This window comes from Homo sapiens, chromosome 9 (genome assembly GCF_000001405.40).
Source record: "Homo sapiens chromosome 9, GRCh38.p14 Primary Assembly".
NCBI lineage: Eukaryota > Metazoa > Chordata > Mammalia > Primates > Hominidae > Homo > Homo sapiens.
This window is the reverse complement of record NC_000009.12, coordinates 129,565,862-129,585,082: the sequence shown is the minus strand read 5'-3', so window position 1 is coordinate 129,585,082 and position 19,221 is coordinate 129,565,862. Positions and strand designations below refer to the sequence as shown.

Here is a 19,221-nt window from a genome sequence, read left to right as displayed (position 1 = left end):
GGTGTGAGCCACCACACCCCACCCAAAACCATGATCTCTCGTTGAACATCTACTATGTGTCAGGAACTTGCTGAGCACTTTGCCTCAGAGAGAGGAAGGGGAGTGGCTTGCCCAGGTCCCACACCGGGGGAGAGGCAGGGCCAGGCCAGGGGCCCAGGACCCCCGACTCTTGAGGCCTGTGCTCTGAATCACAGAGCTGAGCGGCCTCCTTCTGTGCTCCTTCATTCCCTTTGCAGGGACACTCTTCCCTGCTCTTCCCAGTTAGATGGTAGCTAGCTGCCTCCTTCTTCAAGAGTCCTCCCAGGGTCGGTCCATGCCTCCTCCACTCCCCACCACGTTCTCTGGCCCATCGTTCATAGCTCTTTTCATAACCACCACGACTTCCTTCTTTGTTTACATGATTATTGTCTCTCTCCCCAACTAGACAGTGATTCCCAGAGGGCAGGGGCTGTGCATGTTACTCTCTGCTGTGCCTCGTTAAAGAGGATCTGGTTGTGCTTCCAACAGGGCAGACTTCAAATCACACCGGTTTAAACAATCAAGGGTTTATTTCTTGCTCAAGTAAATCTAAGCAGTCCAGGGCTGGTAGGGGCTTCATGGCCCCTAGGGGCTCCAGCTCCTATTGCTTTGTTGCTCTGCTATTCTCAACACACGGCTTCAACCTCACAGTGCACAACAGCTGCTCCTGCTCCAGACTCCATGCTCACATTCTGGTCAGCAGAAAGGAGAAGAAAAGGAGAAGGCATTGCCCCTGTCCTTTAAAGAAAACTCCCAGGAAGTGGGCCAAACCACTTCTCCTGGCATCTCATTGGCCAGAACTTGATCACATGGTCACATCTAGCAGCAAGGGATGCTGGGAAATGTAGTTTTGGGCCAGGTGGCCATACACCCAGCTAAGGATGGGGTGAACTATTCTTATGGAAGAGGAGAGAAGAGACCAGCAGCCTATGTCACAGTCCCCATCTCCTGGCTCATAATAATAATAGTAGTAGTAATAATAATAATAGCTGATATGTATTTAGTACTTTACTTTGTAGTAACTCATTTAATCCTTGCAATAACACTCAAGGTGGGGAAACGGAGGAACGGTATTGGTCAAATCACCTATCCAAGGCCACCTGGCTGGTAAATAGCAGAGCTAGGATTTCAATCTAGGGCCACCTGGTTCCAGAGCTGACACTTCTCTACTTCTCCACCATCCCTGTTTAATCACTATAGAGTGGATGACGCAACCTACTGAATTTGCTCTTGTCCGTATGGGCCCCTTAAAGGGGCTGGGCACACAACAATGTAGGTTCCTCGCCCTGCCCCTTGGGCTGGCTCAGGGCCTGAGCTGTGGCCTCCAGGGCTGAGCCTGGCCTGATCCAAGAGGACTTAGAGAGACCAGCTCCTGGGGGTTGGGGGTTTTGCTCCTGAGCAGGGAAGGAAGGGCAGGGACATCTATGATGGAGGGTTCCAGAGAACCAGTGGGGAGAAGGGACATGGAGGCAACCTCTGACCTCCTTCCAAAACTGAAACTGAGTCAGTGTGAAACGAGGACCTTTCCAGGGCAGAGCAGAGCCTGGGGTGGCCCTGCCGAGACTCCTGGGGTGCCCTGATCTTAGTGGAGGTGAAGGGATGGACAGGCTCTTGTCGGGTCCGAGAGAAGCCCAGGGATGTAGCCTGCCCAGCGAGTCTCTAGCTGTCTCCCTTGGGCAGTGGCTGCTTCCTCCTGGGGACATTTTCCTACTCAATCTGGGTTTCATGCAGAAAGAGGAGGTCACAGGGACTCTGGAAAGACCTGGCTTCCAATCTGTGGTACTGTCCTCTAGAGATAGAGACCTCAGACAATCAGAGGGTGCCACTCTCTCCTCCACCCAGCCCTGCCTTGGGCACTAGGTTATCCACCTGTCAGGCCCCTGCAGGCTTCCCTGCTGTGCCTGGGAAGCCCAAGCTCCTGGTTCTTGTCCACATAGCCAAGGTCCCCAGTGCCTTTCTCTGAAGTAGGTGGTTGTGACCTTTTCTGTGCTGTGGGCTGCTGTGGCATCTGGTGACACCTTCATGCCCTGTCTTCTTTGTACATGCATAACAAATACGTAGGATTACACAGGAAACCGAGTCACTGGAAATATGGCTATCAAGATATTTTTAAAAACCACATTTAAAAACCACATTTGTGGCAAGGTGTGGTGGCTCATGCCTGTAATCCCAGTACTTTGGGAGGCTGAGGCAGCCGGATCACCTGAGGTCAGGAGTTCCAGACCAGCCTGGCCAACACGGTGAAACCCCGTCTCTACTAAAAATACAAAAATTAGCAGAGCGTGGTGGCATGCACCTGTAATCCCAGCTACTCAGGAGGCAGAGGCAGGAGAATCACTTGAACCTGAGAGGAGGTGACTGCAGTGAGCCGAGATTGCGCCAGTGCACTCCAGCCTGGTTGACAGAGTGAGACTCCATCTAAAAAAGAAAAGAAAAAATAAATCACATTTGTGATGTGATAATAAATGTGCCTCTTTACTAAGCATTAACAAGATGTGGCGGCGGGTCTGCAACGGAGTGATGAGTGAGATTTTGAGAAATCTGCACCAGCTTTGTTGTGATCAGAAGACAGCTGTGATTTCTGTTGGTAACAGTGCCGCAGGTACCACTGACTTCTGGCTTTGCTGGGTATGATCATCATGGAAGGAAATACTACACTGTAGTTAGATGTTAGAGAAAATGGAGATGGGATTTTTTTTTTCTCCATCCAAGTTCATGAATGTCCTGAGTTCTACTCATGGCATACCCCAGGTGAGGGACCTCTGTTCTGCTCCCATAATTGGGGTGCAGACACTATGCCCAGCAAGCAGGGAGTTCTCGGGCTGCAGGGAAGAGAGGTTGGGGAGGGGTTGGGGAAGAGCCGATCGCTAAGGGGGAGGAGTTCTGGACTGCAGAGTCGTGTGACCCCAGCAACTGAAGAATTGTGGAAATTGAGGGAGAGGGAGAAATCAACTAGCTTGCTGATTTCTCCAGCCTGGGGTCCTGGGCTGTAGAGTCCCTAACAGCAGACAGAAGTGAGAAAGAGGGCCTACAGGGAGTGCACCAGCTGCAACTAGATGCAGCTGGGGAGAGTGTGTTGGTCACCTCTTGCTGGATTGTGCTGTGGTAATGAACAACCTCCGTGTCTCAGTGCCTTGGAAGCAGAAAGATCTTTTTGCTTGTGTTGGGTGTCAGCTGAGCTGCAAGCGAGCAGCAGCTCTCCTTCTCATCCCCTTCTCTCCAGGACCCAGGCAGGGCCATGGCTGTCTTCATGGTACCATGGAAGCCCCATGAAGGCCCATGTCTGCTTAGCACAAGATTTGTCCCTGGCGTCCCTGCCTCTTCTAAATAGGCAGGGCATGCTCAACAGGTTGCACTGACCCACAGGACCCAGGAGGGAGGCTTTGAGGGTATCCCCACCTTCCTAACAGACCCCTGAGGCTCAGAGAGGGAGCAAGAGTCCTTCTGCTCTTGCTTCTTGCTCAGCAGGTATAGGGCAGGGCAGGGCTTCCCTGCTCCAAGCTCCCTGGACATGCCCTTGGTCCCAGGCCCTGGAGTCCCCTCCTCTTCCCCCCAGAAGGGAGGTCCAGAGCCTAGTGCGGCCCAACTGATCAGCTCCTGGGACCATTCCCCAAACCAGGAGGTACCGATCCCTAGGAGAATCTGCAGAATCTGTAGGGACTTAGGAGTCCCCGTCAGAGCAAGCTTCAGCTCTCCCTTAGGCCAGCTCTTACTTCTGGCAAGGGAGCAGGACTACAGGCCTGGGCCAACAGAGCCCAGCACCCTTGGGAGCATCTTTATTTGTTTATTTATTTATTTTTGAGATCAGGGCTCACGGTGTTGCCCAGGCTGGAGTGCAGTGGAGCAGTCATGGCTGACTGCAGCCTTAACCTCCCAGCCTCAAGGCCTCAAGTGATCTCGCTTCAAAATAGTTGGGGACTACAGGTGTGCACCACCACATCCAGCTAACTTTTTTATTTTTTGTAGAGATGGGGTTTGCCCATCACTGTCCAAGCTGGTTTCAAACTCCTGGGCTCAAGTGGTTCTCCTGCCTTGGTCTCCCAAAGAGCTCGGATCACAGGCATGAGCCACCATGCCCAGCCATTTCTTTTTTCTTTGAGCCTTGGGAACATCTTGATGCCTTCCCAGGAAACCTGGAGAGGGTCTCCCTATCCTCTGGGCAGCAGTGATGGGCCCCATCCTTGTCCTGGGCAATGGGGTGCCGTGGAGGAGGGGGTCTTCACATTCAGGCTGGGGAGGATGGACCCATTTTAGCCACAAAAGTGGATCCTTGTAACAGAGAGGCAGGAAGGTCAGAGCGAGAGAGAGGAGCCGGAAGATGCTACATGCCTGGCTTTGAAGAATGAGGATGAGGCCACAAGCTAAGGAACGCAGGTGGCCTCTAGAAGCTGGAAGTGCAAGGAAATGGATTTCCCTAGGGCCTCTGGAAGCAACACGGCCCCGCTGACATCTTGGCTCTTACTTCAGACTGTAAGAGAGTAAATCTGTGTTGTTTAAGCCACTGACCTTGTGATCAGTTGTTATTGCAGCAAGAGGAAATGGATGCAGGCTGTTGCTCCAGCTCTTCTCCCAGTTCCCAGCCAGCTCTGATGTTCCAGAAAGAAAATAGATGCTCTGTGTGGCCCTGCTTTGTAAATGATTAAAGGGCTGAGGGGCGGTGGGGGGAGCTTCTTAAGGCCACCAGGTCACACGGAGCCCATGGCTGGGACTTTCCATCTGTGGTTTCTCCAGGAAATGAAACCCACCTGTTTGCTGGGTGTGGCCTACAGGACGAGCAGGAGGCTCAGGATTCCAAATGAGAGGGAAAAATGCCCTTAGAAAGTAGCGTTGCTGGGTTTCTCTGGGTCGGGCTGTCTCTGCCACTGTCCTTCTTCACCAGGAGGTCTCAGAGCCCAGCAGTGACAAGCTCAGGATGGACTCCAGTTGCCCTGGGTGCCAATTCTCAGCTCTGCTGAGTTGTCGTTTGTGTGACTTGGGCAAGTCCCTCCACCTTTCCCAACCTCGGCTTCCTCCTCTGTAAAATGGAGATAATAGGATGAGCTTACCTGGAGGACCCAATGGGATGCCATGTTTGTGAAGAGCTCAGCTCAGGGCTGGGCGCTCAGGTGCACCCCTGTGGGTGTCTGGGTGTGCAGGTATGCATGTATGCAGGAGTGCTCGTATACAGGTATGTGTGTACAGGTACAGGTTGCAGGCATGTGTGTACAAGAAGGCACATGAGGTATGTGTGTGCAGGTATATCTGCAGCCCGGATGAGCATTCTGAAATTCACCTTTGCCATGTTACTCCCCTGCTCAGAGCCCCCCATTGCTCCAGGGAGAAGTTGAAATCTTCACCATGGCCAACACCACCCTGCCCGGCCTGGCACCTGCCAGCCTCTCAGCCTCATCCCCCCAACTCCCCAGTTTGTACCATGTGACCTAGGCCTGCCATCCTCCTATCCATTCCTGAAGCGGGCCATGTTTCATGGCAGTCCAGGCCTTCACCCATGCCATTCCTTCTGGAACACTTGTCCTTAGTCCTCCTTCCTGACTAGCTCCTACTCAGTCTTTGAATTTATCACCTCCTCCAGGTAGCCTTCCCTGACTGCTACCCCACCAGAGTGATTGCCCCTCCCCTTTGAACCCATGGCATCACCATCCCCCATTTGCTCCCCTGGTCTCAGCACTAACTACATCGACAATAATCACTCATGACATCTCTCTTCACTCTGAGGCCATGTGCCCCCTGTCTCCAGTGCCCAACATGGGGCCTAGCCCGGAGTAGAGGCTTAGAACACTTGTTGAATGGATGAATGAATGAATGGATGAATGCACACATCTGGATGCATGAGCAAGGAGGCTGTCAGTGCAGAAGGGGTCTGCAGCACGTGTGCAAAGGTGATGTGGGGAGATATCAGATTTGGCCAAGGCTGTGCCTTGGGGAGGGGCTGGAGAAAGGGGGATGGACAGGGTGCCCACTCCCCATCCAGACCCCTTTTCCCTGTGGAGACTGTGGACTTACTGAGGTTGCCTTGTTGTTGGGGGAGAGGGAGGATGGAGAGAGTAGAGGGTGAGAGGGGAGGTGGACGCCAGCAGTGCCAATACATTCTGCTTCATCTTCCCTTCCTGACCTCTCTGTGACTTTCATCTGCCCAGCCTGGGCCCTTCCGCTGGATGGGGAAGGAGCAGAACTTCCCAGGGTCACCAGCCCAGTGGCCCTTCTGGTGTCTCTAGCCGCCATCCCCTTAGCTCGTTCCTTGGGCCCCTGGTCAGGCCAGGAGGAGGTGAGAGCAGCGGCTCTGGGGGAAGAGGGGATAAGGGCCTGGCCTGGCCTCGGAGCCCAGACGGCGGGCCCTGCCCCTTACTCATGCCTGGGGTGAGGCAGCCCATGACTGTGTGGCCTGGAGCGGGTCACTTCCCCTCCCTGACCCTAATCCTGACATCTGTAAAATGGCATAGCAGCCCTTCTGAGTAGTCTTGCAGCAATTAACAAGCTCCTGCTTACAGAAGGCTCGACACAATATCTGGCACTGGAAAATGCTCAGTAAGTAGAATTTTGTCATCATCATTATCATCTCTTTCCTCTCTCCCGCCTCCCTCCTGCCTTTCTTCCTCTCCTCCTTCCTGCATTCAGACCATGCAGTTTGTTCCTAGTGCACCCCTAGTAGGGCAGGACAGGTATCTCACTCATCTTTATATCCCCTGTCCCTGGCACAGTGCCTGGGCACCTAGTCAGTGCTCAATAAATGTTTATTAGGGCCAGGCATGGTGGCTTACGCCTGTAATCCCAACACTATGGGAGGCTGAGGTGGGAGGATCACTTGAGCTTGGGAGGCGGAGATTGCAGTGAGCTGAGATCTTGCCACTACACTCTAGCCTGGGTGACAAAGTGAGACCTTGCCTCAAAAATAATAAATAGCCGGGTCCGGTGGCTCACGCCTGTAATCCCAGCACTTTGGGAGGCCGAGGCGGGTGGATCACCTGAAGTTGGGAGTTTGAGACCAGCCTGACCAACATGGAGAAACCCCATCTCTACTAAAAATACAAATTTAGCTGGGCGTGGTGGCGCATGCCTGTAATCCCAGCTACTCGGGAGGCTGAGGCAAGAGAATCTCTTGAACCCGGGAGGCGGAGGTTGTGGTGAGCCAAGATCGTGCCATTGTATTCTAGTCTGGGCAACAAGAGCAAAACTCTGTCTCAAAATAATAATAATAACAATAAATAAATAATATTTGTGGAATGAATATTTTTTGCCCACTGAGGGGCAATGCACTTCCTCTCTCTGGTCTCTGGTTTCCTCATCTTAAAACAAGTCCATAAACCAGGAATCTCCAAGGTTCCTCCAGTTTTGAAATAAAGACTGAATGTTATAGTCACTGCTGTGCTGGAGTCTTTGGTCTTTTTTCTTTTTTTTTCTTTAATATTCTTACCAGCTAATATATCCCTGAGGCCTCTTGCCCATGCACAGGACCGGCCTCTTGATTTTCTGCCGGCCTCCGTGCTTTGACTCCTGTTCTCCATCACGCAGCAGCTGGTGTAGGGGCTTCTGAGCACAAACCTGTGCTGGATAAAGACAAGCGTCTTCATCATGGCCTTAGGGCCTTGCACGGCCCAGCCCTTGGGAGCCTTTCCAGCCTCATCTGGAAGACTCACCTCCCCCCAGGTCACTGGGCTCCACCTGGCAGGCCTTCTCTGCCCCTTTACTTCCCGGGTCCCTCCCTGCACAGGCCCTTCGCACATGCTGTTCCCCTCCAGCTGCAATGCTGTTCCCTTTTCCTTCACCCAGGCAACTCCCACTCATTCTTCAGATCTAGGCCCTGGTGCCAATCCCTCTAGGAAGCCTTCCCCAGCCTCCCCCTAGACTGGCTCCAATCACCCCATTATTGACTGCCTAAGCCTCTCCCAGCATCTGTCACAGGCAGGAAGTGACATCCGCTTGTGAAGAATTGCACGTATTTCCTCGGCTAGACCACGCACTCCGGCCTGGCTTGGCTCTCTGCGCCGAGGCTCCAGCCGGCAAGGAGCCTGGCCCATGACACGTGCGGTTGCCCGCGTTCCCTCCCCACGTGGTGGGAGTCTCTGAGGGTCTCTGCGGGGCGCCCGGATGCCTGAGGAGCCAGGCAGCCGCACAGGAGCCCCCAGGGCGGCAGGAAGGGCAGGGTGACCCCCGACTGCACATGCCAGCCCCCACCCCACACTGCTGTCTGCTCTCAGGGAAGAACCTGCGTTAGCTGCGACATTTTGGAATCAGTCTCATTCTCTGAGTTAGGCCACTCCTGGAGATGGGCTGGCCCCGAGACCAGGGCCAAATCCCAGCCCCACCGAGGGCTGTGGCGCCTCCTTGAGCAGCACCCTTCCCCGCTCCAGGCCTTGGTACGGCACAGGAGGAGGGCACCCACCTGGGCAGGGTCAGGTGGGGGCGTGGAGGTCCCCAGGGGAGCCCCCAAAGCCACTGTGCGGCAACAGACATTCAGGACGGCAGGAGGGAGAGCCTCGGGTGGCTGCTGGAAAGGGGTGAGCATGGAGTGTGAGTGTGTGAGAAGTGTGTGTGAGAAGTGCATGAGTGTATGAGGAGTGTGTGTGTGAGGAGTACGTGTGAGAAGTGCGTGTGTGAGGAGTGTGTGTGTGAAGAGTGTGTGAGTGTGTGAGGAGTGCGTGTGTGAGAGGAGTGTGTGTGAGGAGTGTGTGTGAGGAGTGCGTGTGTGAGGAGTGTGTGTGTGGAGTGCGTGTGTGTGAGGAGTGTGAGGAGTGCATGTGTGAGGAGTGCGTGTGTGAGGAGTGCATGTGTGTGAGTGTGTGTGTGAGGAGTGTGTGTGAGGAGTGTGTGTGTGAGGAGTGCGTGTGTGAGGAGTGCGTGTGTGTGAGGAGTGTGTGTGTGAGGAGTGTGTGAGGAGTGTGTGCGTGTGTGTGAGTGCATGTGAGGTGTGTGCGAGGAGTGCGTGTGTAAGGAGTGTGTGAGGGTGTGAGGAGTGAGTGTGAGAGTGACTGAGTTTGCAAGTGTGTGTGTGTGAGTTTGCAAGTGTGTTTGTGAGTTTGCAAGTGTGTGTGTGTGCGTGTGTGTGTGTGTGTACACGTGTGCAGCTGGCAGAAGAGCCTTCAGTGGAGGGCCGGGAGGAAAGGAGCTGGAGAAAGGCTGCTCCCCCGCAATGCTGAAGCCAGCAGCTCAGAGGCAGGGACTCAGAGGCAGGGACTCAGAGGCAGGGACGTGGAGCTGCCTCCAACAAGGTGAAGGAAGGAGGCGGGTGGCTGGAGGGAGAAGCCACCAAACGCAGGGGAGGAGACTGGGAGAATTCTGGACCTGAGGGTCTGAAGACCAGCTTGGCCCTCTGGCAGCCCCATCGCCAAGGACTTGAGCCCTGCTGCCCAAAGACTCGGGTTTGAATACGGGCTCTGCCTCTTACTAGCTGTGGGACTCTGGGTGAATCCTTTGCCTCTCAGAGCCTGGGTTTCTTGGCTTGTAAAATGGAGATGATAAGAGAACATACCTGTGGATTCGTTTCCTGGGGCTATCGGAGCAAGGTGCCATGGACAGGGTGCCCTAAACAACAGACACTTATTTGCTCACAGTTCTGGTGGCCAGAGCTTGAGATCAAAGTGTCAGCAGAGCTGGTTTCTCCTGCAGCCTCTCTCCTTGGCTTGCAGATGTCACATTCTCCCTGCGTCTTCACATGGCATATGTCTGTGTCCTAATTTCCTCTTCTTATAAGGACATCAGCTATGTCGGACTGGGGTGCACCCTGATGACCTCATTTTAACTTAATCACCTCTTTTAAACCCTTACTTAGTCTGGGATGCTAAAACAAAACATCACAGACTGGGCGGCTTAAAAACAACAAATTTATTGCTCACAGTTCTGGAGGCTGGGAAGTCCGAGATCAAGGTGCCAGCAGATTGGTGCCTGATGAGGACTGTTTTGCTTCCTGGTTCATAGATGGTGCCTTCTTGCTGTGTCCTTACGTGGTGGACTGAGTAAGCAAGCTCCCTGGAGCCTCTTTTTATTTATTTTTTTGAGACGGAGTCTTACTCTGTCACCAGGCTGGAGTGCAGTGGCGCAATCTTTGCTCACCGCAACCTCCGACTCCCTGGCTCAAGCAATTCTCCTGCCTCAGCCTCCCGAATAGCTGGGATTACAGGCATGCGCCACCACGCCCAACTCATTTTTGTATTTTTAGTAGAGACAGAGTTTCACCAAGTTGGCCAGGATAGTCTCGATCTCCTGACCTCATGATGTGCCCGCCTCAGGCTCCCAAAGTGCTGGGATTACAGGCGTGAGCCACCGCACCTGGCCCCTGGAGCCTCTTTAATAAGGGCATTGATATGGTTGGGATATTTGTCCCACCAAAATCTCATGTTGAAATGTAATCCCTGGCCAGGCACGGTGGCTCACGCCTGTAATCCCAGCAGTTTGGGAGGCCGAGGTGGGTAGATCGCGTGAAGTCAGGAGTTCAAGACAAGCCTGGCCAACATGGTAAAACCACCTCTCTACTAAAAATACAAAAAATTAGCCAGGCATAGTGGCAGACGCCAGTAATCCCAGCTACTTGGGGGGCTGAGGCAGGAGAATCGCTTGAACCCAGGAGGTGGAGGTTTCAGTGAGCTGAGATCACGCCACTGCACTCCAGCCTGGGCAACAAGAGTGAAACTCCATCTCAAAAAAAAAAAAAAATGTAATCCCCAAAGTTGGAGATGGGGCCTGGTGGGAGGTGTTTGCTTGGCAGTGGATACCTCATGGCTTGGTGTTGTCTTCCTGACAGTGGTGGGTTCTCATGGGAGCTGGTTGTTTAAAAGTGTGTGGTACCTCCCCCTCAACTCTCTCTTCCTCCCGCTCTGGCCACGTGAGACACCTGTTCCCCCTTCACCTTCTGTCATGATTGGAAGCTTCCTGAGGCCTCCCCAGAAGCTGAGCAGATGCCAGCACCATGCTTCCTGTACAGCCTGCAGACCCATGAGCCAATCAAACTTTTCTTTATAAATTAGCTGGTCTCAGGTGTTTCTTGACAGAAATTCGAAGACGGACTGATACAGGCATTAATCTTATTCGTAAGGGCAGAGCTCTCACCTCCCAAAAGCCACCACCTCATAATATCATCACACTGGAAATTAGGTTTCAACCTGAATTTTGGTGGGATGCAAACATTCAGACCATAGTACCCTGTCCCCAAATACAGACACATTCTGAGGACCTGGGGGTTAGGACTTCAACATATGAATTTGGAAGAGCACAATTCAGCCTGTAACATCTGCTTTGGTTTGGTTTGGGCTCCCCTGCAAGTAGGCCTCAAAGGCTGTTGTACTTGTAGTTTGTTTGGGACGAGTACTCCTAGGGGCAAGAGTGAGGGATGGGGAGTGGGAAGAGCAAAACAGGAGCGGCAAGAAAACCAATGCAAAGGCCAGGCGCGGTGGCTCACGCTTGTCATCCCAGCACTTTGGAAGGCCGAGGTGGGTGGATCACTTGGCATCAGGAGTTAGAGACCAGCCTGGCCAACATGGCAAAACCCTGTCTCTACTAAAGATACAAGAATTACCAGCCTGGCGAACACGGCAAAACCCCGTCTCTACTAAAAATACAAAAATTAGCCAGGTGTGGTGGCAGGTGCCTGTAATCCCAGCTACTTGGGAGGCTGAGGCTGGAGAATCACTTGAACCAAGGAGGCGGAGGTTGCAGTGAGCCAAGGTTGTGCCACTGCACTCCAGCCAGGGTGACAGAGCGAGACTCTGTCTCAAAAAAAAAAAAAAAAAAAAAGAAAAGAAAAAAAGAAAGGCTGAGCATGCATGATGGCACGTGCCCGCCCATAGTCCCAGCTACTCAGGAGGCTGAAGTGGGAGAATTGCTTGAACCTGGGAGGTGGAAGTTTCAGTGAGCTGAGATCGCACCACTACACTCCAGCCTGGGTGACAGAGCGAGACTCTGTCTCAAAAAAAAAAAAAGAAAGCCAATGCAAACGTGCATTGCTGAGTTCACCATTATGGAAGCTGGGGTGCCAGATCCCCCAGGATCATCGGAGCTGCCTTGCAAAATGCATCTCAGAACCATCCGCCCAGGGGAAGAAAGGAGGGAGCATTGGTTCCAGGGCTCTGCTGCCTTTGAGGAAGCGTTGGCCTGTAGGGTGTTCACACCTTTGCACTTGCAGTTGAGCATGTGTAACTGCCGAGTGGGTTACTGTGGAGGGGCGGAGGTGGGGGGATCCCACACTGTGGCATCAGCAAAGCCCCGGGCTGGAAGCAAGAGGCAAGCACAGGGGCCTAGGGCGGGCCATTGTCAGCTCACAGCTGTATGGAGCTTGTCAAGGCCTGTGAGGTCTGTTTACTGCAGCTGGGCCTGGATTAGGAGGTGAAGCCAAGAGGTCTGAAGCGTTCAGGTGAGCTGCTCAACACAGTCCGCCCCTTGTAGCACTCAGCCCCGCCCCTGCCCCCCGCTGGGTCCACCGTCAGAGTCCCCTTCGAGGTGCTGGTATCTGCAGTGCCTGCAGACAGCTCATGCTAGAGGGTTACCGAGAAGAGCTCAGAACCCACCTGAGTGGGAACCCCTTTCTTTGCATGTTGGTCCTGGTCCCTGGCACAAAGGCCCCAGTGTGACAGATGCAGTCACAGGTTTGAGTTCGGTGGGATCCACCCTGTGCCCAGTGGAGCCCTCCCCTACTTCCCTTCTCCCCTGCCCTCTCTCCCCTCTCCCCTGTCCCAGATAGCTGGGGCCTCTCATCTGACACACCTAAAGTTGCAGGGACAAGAAGCACAAATCCACAAGGAGGTCCCCGGTGGAATGGGGTCGGGGGGCGGGCAATCCTATTTCTACAACTTGTCCCTGGACCATGTGTTCCAGCTTCTGGGGACATGGCACCTGTGACTGGTTGTTGGCTCTGTGCTTGGGGTGCTGCACAAGCTGGCCGCCCCTACATTCCATCAGGCCCAGGCTCCAGGGTGAGACCGGTGGGCATCACGCTCATGTGCCCACTGGGATCCTTCCTCACCATAAACTGTGTCCCTAGGTCCGGGGCCTAGGTTGGCAGGATCCCACATCTCCAGATGGGGCATTCCGAGCTGCATTCTGGATGCAGTGGCGGCATGGAGATCTGTCAGGTGGCACAGAACTACTGCCATGGCTGGATTCCGAGGTGAAGACGAGAAGAACGAGGGTTGTGGAATAGCGGGTGCTGCTCACAGGGCTCAGAGTGCAGATACAGAGAAGGCTCAGCACAGGATCTGGCACAGTGGGTCTACCGAATTGCCACTATGCCCATTTTACAGATGGGAAGCCTGAGGCTCAGAGGAGGAGGCAGCTTGCCCAAGGACCCAGGGCTAGCGGGCAGCAGAGCTGGGTTGGGGACCAGCCTTAAAAATCCTGTGCTTGTAGCTGTGAGGCTGTCTTCCCTGCCTCACTGCTGACCCAGTGAGTACATGTCTCTTTACAAAAAGAGTATCGTTCTGTGCCTGTGCTGGCCCAGGGAACGTCGAGGAGGCCAAGGTCACCCCACATGGCCTTCTGGGGCAGCTCCTCCTCTGACCGACAGAGGCCTTTCTGAGATGGCTGGTGGCCAAAGCCACTAACTGAGGGGCAGGACAAGGGGACTCTGAGCACCTTAGTCCCTACCCCACATCCCAGCTTCTATCCAGGATCCAAAAGTTTCTCCTGATGGGCACTCCTTCCCCTCCAGCTCAGACAAGTGGGCAGGGCTCTGGTGTCAGACGGACCTGAGCTCTGCCCTCTTCTCCCTCCTGGCTTTGGGACCCTGGGTGAATCTTGGTCTCTGTTCCTTCATCTCACTTCATGGGGACTGAATGAGACCCAGGGGTGAGGCCCCCAGCCCACAGCTGCTGTTAATCCAGGGCTCTCCTCTCTTAGGAAGGACACAGAGTCCACTAATGACCATTGGTCCACCAAGGCACAGAGAGGGCAAGGGGCCTGCCTAGGTCACCAGCAGGCCTGAGTCTAGTCCTGACTCCCAATCCAGGCCTCCTTTGACCATACCCCAAAAGAAAATGAAGGTGGAGACGTGGGGGTTGCGGGGAGAGGAAGGAGATGGGGAAGCGGGGGGACCTTACACTCACTCCCCCACATAGTGCCTCACACATAGTTGGTGTTCACTAAATATTTGCTGAATGATGAGTAAATGTTAGGTGGTTGGATAGATGGGGCCTCAGGCGGGTGAGACCCAGCTATGTGCTGTTTCGAATCCCAGCCCACGGCGTCCTGCCAGTCCCCCTGCTAACCTCATTTGGTTGCTAGCAGTAGCCTTCATTTTCTGCTGAGTCACTACTCTCAACCCAGACGTGGGGTTGGGCGTGCCAGGAATTTGGAGGGAAGAAAGATTGACAGAACCTCAGCACCTCAACACCAGCTCCATTTTTAAGATGAAGAAACCGAGGCGGGGGAGGAGGTCTGCTCAGTCCTGGAACACCCCACTTCCCCAGCAGCCTTAGGCCGCCACCCCTGCCCGGCTTACCCACCTCCATCGGGGAGCCTCTGTCATTCTGGTAGCTGGGGGGTGGGGGACTGGGGAACAGAACACATTCCCCAGGGCCCTTTGAGTCATGCTGAGTCCTGTAGAAGTCCCAGCACCACCCATGGTGCTCCCAGGAAGCTTTAGCTGGCCTCTGGGAAGCAAATTGGGGCTCCTGACCCCTCTAAACAGAGAATGGCACCCCCGCTCCATGAGTCTCTTTCCTCCTTTCCTCTCTGGCCCCTCTTGCCCTTCTCTGTGCCTGGTGGCAGGATTTAGGAGCCCATCTCTGTCCCCCATAAGTACTGTGGCTGGGCGAGCCCCTGCCCTTCCCTGGGCCTCACTGGCCCAGCTGGGACCAGGCCAGCAAACCCAAGTCTCTCTTGACCTGACCCCCCAGGACACTGTGTCCATTGGAGCTCTGACTGTACCCCCTTTGCCCTGGTGCCCTCCAGTCCCCACCCCTCTCTCTCTCTCTGGCCCTCTTATGGACTCTTCCAGAGGGAGACTGTCCCACCCCACCTCCTGGCTTCTCCTTCCTCTTGGTCTCTCTCCTCCTGGCCATCCTCATTGGAAAATGCCAAGTCTGCAGGTTTCCCATGACCTTGAACAACCGGCAGTTTGGGAGTGAGCAGCTCTGAGCTTTGCAAGGAGGGCCTAGGGTGAGGCCCACCATGGGTCCTGGGGGCTGCATTGCCTTTGCACCCCACACCCTGTCCTGCTGACCTTGCTTCATTTTTCTCCATGGCAAGTGGCATCTTCTCACTGCTTACTTGGGTATTGTACGTCCATGGCCTCAGTAGAATGTTCCTTCCACAACGGTAGGGGTTTTGTCAGCTGTGGTCACTGCTTGGTCCTCACCCGGAAGGCCTATAACAGTGCCTGGCCCACAGGGGGCCTCCATGAGTGCTGAGGAAGGAGGATTTCCTCCAAGCCACCTGTGGGGAGCACTTCCTTGTGGGCATCACTGCCTCTGATGCACCATCTGCCTGCCCAGGATATGCCAGGCCCCTTTCAGAAGATGGGGAAACTGAGGCTCAGAGAGGAAGAGACGAAGGGAAGGAACGGATGCAACCTCACACAGTGGTCCCTGGTGGGAGTCCAGAGGAACGGATGCAACCTCACACAGTGGTCCCTGGTGGGAGTCCAGAGTCGAACCCACGCATTCAGGCCGTGGCGCTTGACTTAGCCCTTCCTCCCACCAGCCAGCCAGTCCGCCAACAGCTGAGAGGGGCTGGGACAGCCCCGCCCGCACCCCACGTCCCTGACGCCTTCGGCCACGCCCCTGTGGTAGAGTGAAGAAACTGAGGCACCCCGCCTCCTCGGATTCCTTGCAAGCCTCCTTCCCACACCCGCGCCCGCGCCCCCGCCCCCTCCTCGGGCCCTGCCCTCCCTCCCTGGCCTGGCCCCGGCCCCGGCCCCGGCCCCGGCCCCGCGTAGCCCCCGGCCCTTGGCAGAGCTCAGCCCGCGCCCACCCGGAGCCGGGGAGGGAGAGAAAAATGAGTTTTCCTGCCGCCCGGTGGCGGTGTCAATTGATCGCGCGCGGGCGGGGCTGCGCGCCGGGCTGGGGGCCTTGCTCGCAGCTGCCGGCGCGCAATTATCGGGAAAAAACTGGGGCGGCTGCCGCGGTGAAATTAGTTATCGATCCCTCGGTGGGGCCGCGGGGCCGCGCTTGGCGCTGAGGGCTGCAGACCCGGCCAAGCCCGCTGGGCGGGGCGGGGGCCTGGGGGGCGGCGGGGGCGGGCCCTCCCCCTGCTCCGGCCTCTCCCTCCTCCCCCTCCTCCTCCCTCCTCCTCCCGCCCGCGCTCCCCTCTCCCATTCATCCTGCCGCCGTATCGACCCGCGGCCGACCCCGCGCGGCCAGGCGCCCCCGCCCGCTGCCCTCTCCTTTCCCAGCCCGGCCTCCCCCGCGGGGGCTGTCACCGAGCGCCTGGCACGGCCGGGCCATGCCCCGGGGAAGGAGGGACCAGGGCCGGGGGCGGGAGCCAGCCCTTGTGCTCGCAGCCCTGGGTTCGGAGCCCAGCTGCCCGGGAAGGTTTCCAGATCTCCCTGAGCCTCAGTTTCCCCATCTGTAAACTGGGTGGTGGTGGCTTCGTCCCCCGCTTTGAGAGGACAGCAGGAGAGGCGTCCTGAGAAGTGAGTTCGCCTGGAAGCTGCCGGGCTGTAGTTTGCGTTGATACCACCGATCTTCCCGGTCACTCTAGGAGACGGGCCATATCCCCGTTTTACAAATGAGGAAACTAACTCAGCGAGGGGAGACGCCGTGTCCAGGGACACACAGTAAGCAGGTGGCCCAGGAGGACCCCAGAACCCGGCTGGAGGTGGCGGTGGGGGGCGAGGGGTGCCTGCGGAAGGAGAGGAACAGGAGCAGCGGGAGGTCAGCGCTGGCACCTGCAGCCCTGTCAGCCTGCGGGGGTGCGGAAGTTTGGGAGGTCTTAGCAGAGTGGTGCTGACAGATCGTAGAGCGTGGGTGGAGGTCAGGGCTCCCCAGCCCTCGCTGAGCCATTGGCTCGGCAGCCTCCTGGTTGGAGAGGAAGAGTGGGGAGGGACAGAGGAAGGAGAGGGAAGCAAAGAGGAGAAGGGGAGTGTCTTTGCCCAGAGCCAGCCTGCCACCCTCTCCTTTCCCAGCACTAGGCTGCATTTGGAAGGGAGGCGCCAGGCTGGAGAGCAGGGGATGTGAGTTCCAATCCTGAGGCTCCACTAGGTGGTGTGACCTTGAGCAAGGCCCTGCCCCTCCCCAGGCCTCCTACAAAGATGGTATTTGGTCCTATGTCCCTCAAGGCTCCTTCGGGCTCCCCTCTGCCTGCCAGCCACAGCCTCATGCATCTCAGAGTCTCAGAACATTTTTTTTTTTTTTTTTTTTTTGAGAAAGAGTCACTCTGTCACCCAGGCTGAAGTGCAGTGGCATGATCTCAGCTCACTGCAACCTCCACCTCCCGGGTTCAAGGGATTTTCCCGCCTCAGCCTCCTGAGTAGCTGAGATTACAGGTGTGCACCACCATGCCTGGCTAATGTTTTTTGTATTTTAGCAGAGATGGGGGTTTTACCATGTTGCCCAGGCTGATCTCGAACCCCTGAGCTAAGGCAATCCGCCCACTCAGCCTCCCAAAGTGCTAAGATTACAGGCGTGAGTCACTGCGCTCGGCCCTCAGCACATCTTCATCCAGCATCTACTGTGTGCCAGGACTGTGCTGGGCACAGCAGATACAGCTGAGGACAAGACAGCCCCTGTCACAGCTCTCTCGGAGCAAGATGGGTATTAAGCAAACCATTGTATGGCCGTGCACTTACACCTTGGGGGGCGTTCAAGGGGACTGACAGGATATGTGCGCTGGGGTGGGTGGGTCACCGGGGAAGCCTCCCAGAGTCAGTGACATTTGAAGGTAGGACGTGGCAGGGGCAGGGAAGAGCAGGCTTCGCGGGGAAACGACATGAGCCAAGGCCCAAGTTCAAAAGGAGCTCTGAGCATTGCAGCAACAGAGAAAGGCTGGTATGCTGGAGGCAGAGAATGCCGGAGGACAGGTGAGGGGGATGAGGCTGGCAGGGCCAGGCCGTGGTGGGCTTGGGTGTTGCGAAGGAGGTTACGCCCCTTCCCGAAGGCGGAGGAACACAAAGTATTCGATCGCGGAGGGACAGGGTCAAGTCCGGCCCCTCGGCTGGAAGCCTGCGTGTTCCTGTTCGCCCATGGGTGTTGCACGCAGAAGTCCTGCTTTGGAGGTCTGGTTTTGTTCTTGGCCTCTCTGAGCCTCAGTTTCCTATTCTGTAATAGCCTCCAATGCTGTAGTGGCTGTGGGTTTTGGTGGGGACAGCCCTGGGTTCAAGTCTTCCTTTATAAGTCGTGAGTCCTTGGGCGGTGTCCAACAAGCGGCTCAAAGGGGCCCTGTGTTCTCCCTCTCCCAGCTTTCCTGGCTCCCCAGATGGGATTCTAGAGGCGTCCTCAGGATCCAGAACAAGGTCTCCTTGGTGACAGGGGAGGCGATGGGTAGCCCCTCCGCTGGCCTGATGGTGAGGAGAGGCAGGGCGGGAGGGCTGGAGGCCAGTGCTGGGGGTCACTGTTCCTGCCTCTTCCCCTCTGGACTCCCCTTGCTCGCTGCAAGGGGACACAGAAAATGACAGAGGGACAAGCTGGCCTGTTGGGACTGGGGCTGCCTTATGTCCTGTAAAAATTGGTCCTCCCCTGGCTTCTGGGGACCACACTATATTCTATTCTTGATTGGGACATGGTTATTACAGATGAGTTCACTTTGTAAAGATTCACAGAACTGAACACCTGGGATGCATTTCTGTGTATGTGTCACACTTCAACAAAAAGTGCCACTGGGGGCTGGGTGCAGTGGTTCATGCCTGTAATCTCAGCACTTTGGGAGGCTGAGGCGGGCGGATCACATGAGATCAGGAGTTCGAGACCAGCCTGACCAACAAGGTGAAACCCCATCTCTACTGAAAATATAAAAATTAGCCGGGCCTGGTGGCACACGCCTGTAATCCTAGCTACTCAGGAGGCTGAGGCAGGAGAATCGCTTGAACCCAGGAGGCGGAGGTTGTGATGAGCTGAGATCGCGCCACTGCACTCCAGCCTGGGCGACAGAGCAAGACTCCGTCTCAAAAAAAAAATGCCACTTCTCTGAGCTGCTGGTGGCTGACCGCAGCCTGTGAGGTAGGCGCAAACATCCCCTTTGGCAGAAGACAAGAGTGAGGCCCTGGGGGAACTGAGCCCTCACCTGACTGCAGTGGGTCCCGAAGGAGCCCAGGCATGTACCCGCTGGAGAGGGCTCTGTCTCCAG

The 19,221-nt window shown here is 55.7% G+C and overlaps 1 long non-coding RNA gene across 4 annotated transcripts, besides 6 other annotated features; it reads right to left on the bottom strand.

The window, feature by feature from the left end:
- Positions 1 to 529: 529 nt before the first annotated feature.
- Positions 530 to 9,676, bottom strand: LOC105376292 (uncharacterized). 4 transcript variants are annotated; one of them, NR_188669.1, is made up of 5 exons: positions 9,485 to 9,676; positions 4,764 to 5,032; positions 4,525 to 4,604; positions 2,315 to 2,436; positions 530 to 710 (listed from the first exon to the last, which is right to left on the bottom strand). It is a non-coding gene; the product is annotated as an uncharacterized LOC105376292 (long non-coding RNA). The 4 variants fall into 4 exon arrangements; NR_188668.1 differs by adding an exon at positions 7,430 to 7,562 and having other exon boundaries at positions 530 to 2,436; positions 4,525 to 5,032; NR_188666.1 differs by having other exon boundaries at positions 4,525 to 5,032.
- Positions 752 to 1,309: an enhancer, noted in NCBI's record as "H3K27ac-H3K4me1 hESC enhancer chr9:132346053-132346610 (GRCh37/hg19 assembly coordinates)". NCBI's record gives its function as "activates a minimal SCP1, AML or CMV promoter by ChIP-STARR-seq in naive H9 embryonic stem cells {active_cell/tissue: H9 hESC(naive)}" and the evidence as "EXISTENCE:reporter gene assay evidence [ECO:0000049][PMID:30033119]".
- Positions 4,452 to 4,501: an enhancer, noted in NCBI's record as "active region_29113". NCBI's record gives its function as "activates an Ori minimal core promoter by ATAC-STARR-seq in GM12878 lymphoblastoid cells {active_cell/tissue: GM12878}" and the evidence as "EXISTENCE:reporter gene assay evidence [ECO:0000049][PMID:35858748]".
- Positions 12,680 to 13,541: an enhancer, noted in NCBI's record as "H3K27ac-H3K4me1 hESC enhancer chr9:132333821-132334682 (GRCh37/hg19 assembly coordinates)". NCBI's record gives its function as "activates a minimal SCP1, AML or CMV promoter by ChIP-STARR-seq in primed H9 embryonic stem cells {active_cell/tissue: H9 hESC(primed)}" and the evidence as "EXISTENCE:reporter gene assay evidence [ECO:0000049][PMID:30033119]".
- Positions 13,542 to 14,405: an enhancer, noted in NCBI's record as "H3K27ac-H3K4me1 hESC enhancer chr9:132332957-132333820 (GRCh37/hg19 assembly coordinates)". NCBI's record gives its function as "activates a minimal SCP1, AML or CMV promoter by ChIP-STARR-seq in primed H9 embryonic stem cells {active_cell/tissue: H9 hESC(primed)}" and the evidence as "EXISTENCE:reporter gene assay evidence [ECO:0000049][PMID:30033119]".
- Positions 14,099 to 14,393: an enhancer, noted in NCBI's record as "tiled region #9056; HepG2 Activating DNase unmatched - State 1:Tss, and K562 Activating DNase unmatched - State 5:Enh". NCBI's record gives its function as "activates a minimal TATA promoter and a strong SV40 promoter by Sharpr-MPRA in HepG2 and K562 cells {active_cell/tissue: HepG2 | K562}" and the evidence as "EXISTENCE:reporter gene assay evidence [ECO:0000049][PMID:27701403]".
- Positions 14,406 to 15,269: an enhancer, noted in NCBI's record as "H3K27ac-H3K4me1 hESC enhancer chr9:132332093-132332956 (GRCh37/hg19 assembly coordinates)". NCBI's record gives its function as "activates a minimal SCP1, AML or CMV promoter by ChIP-STARR-seq in naive H9 embryonic stem cells {active_cell/tissue: H9 hESC(naive)}" and the evidence as "EXISTENCE:reporter gene assay evidence [ECO:0000049][PMID:30033119]".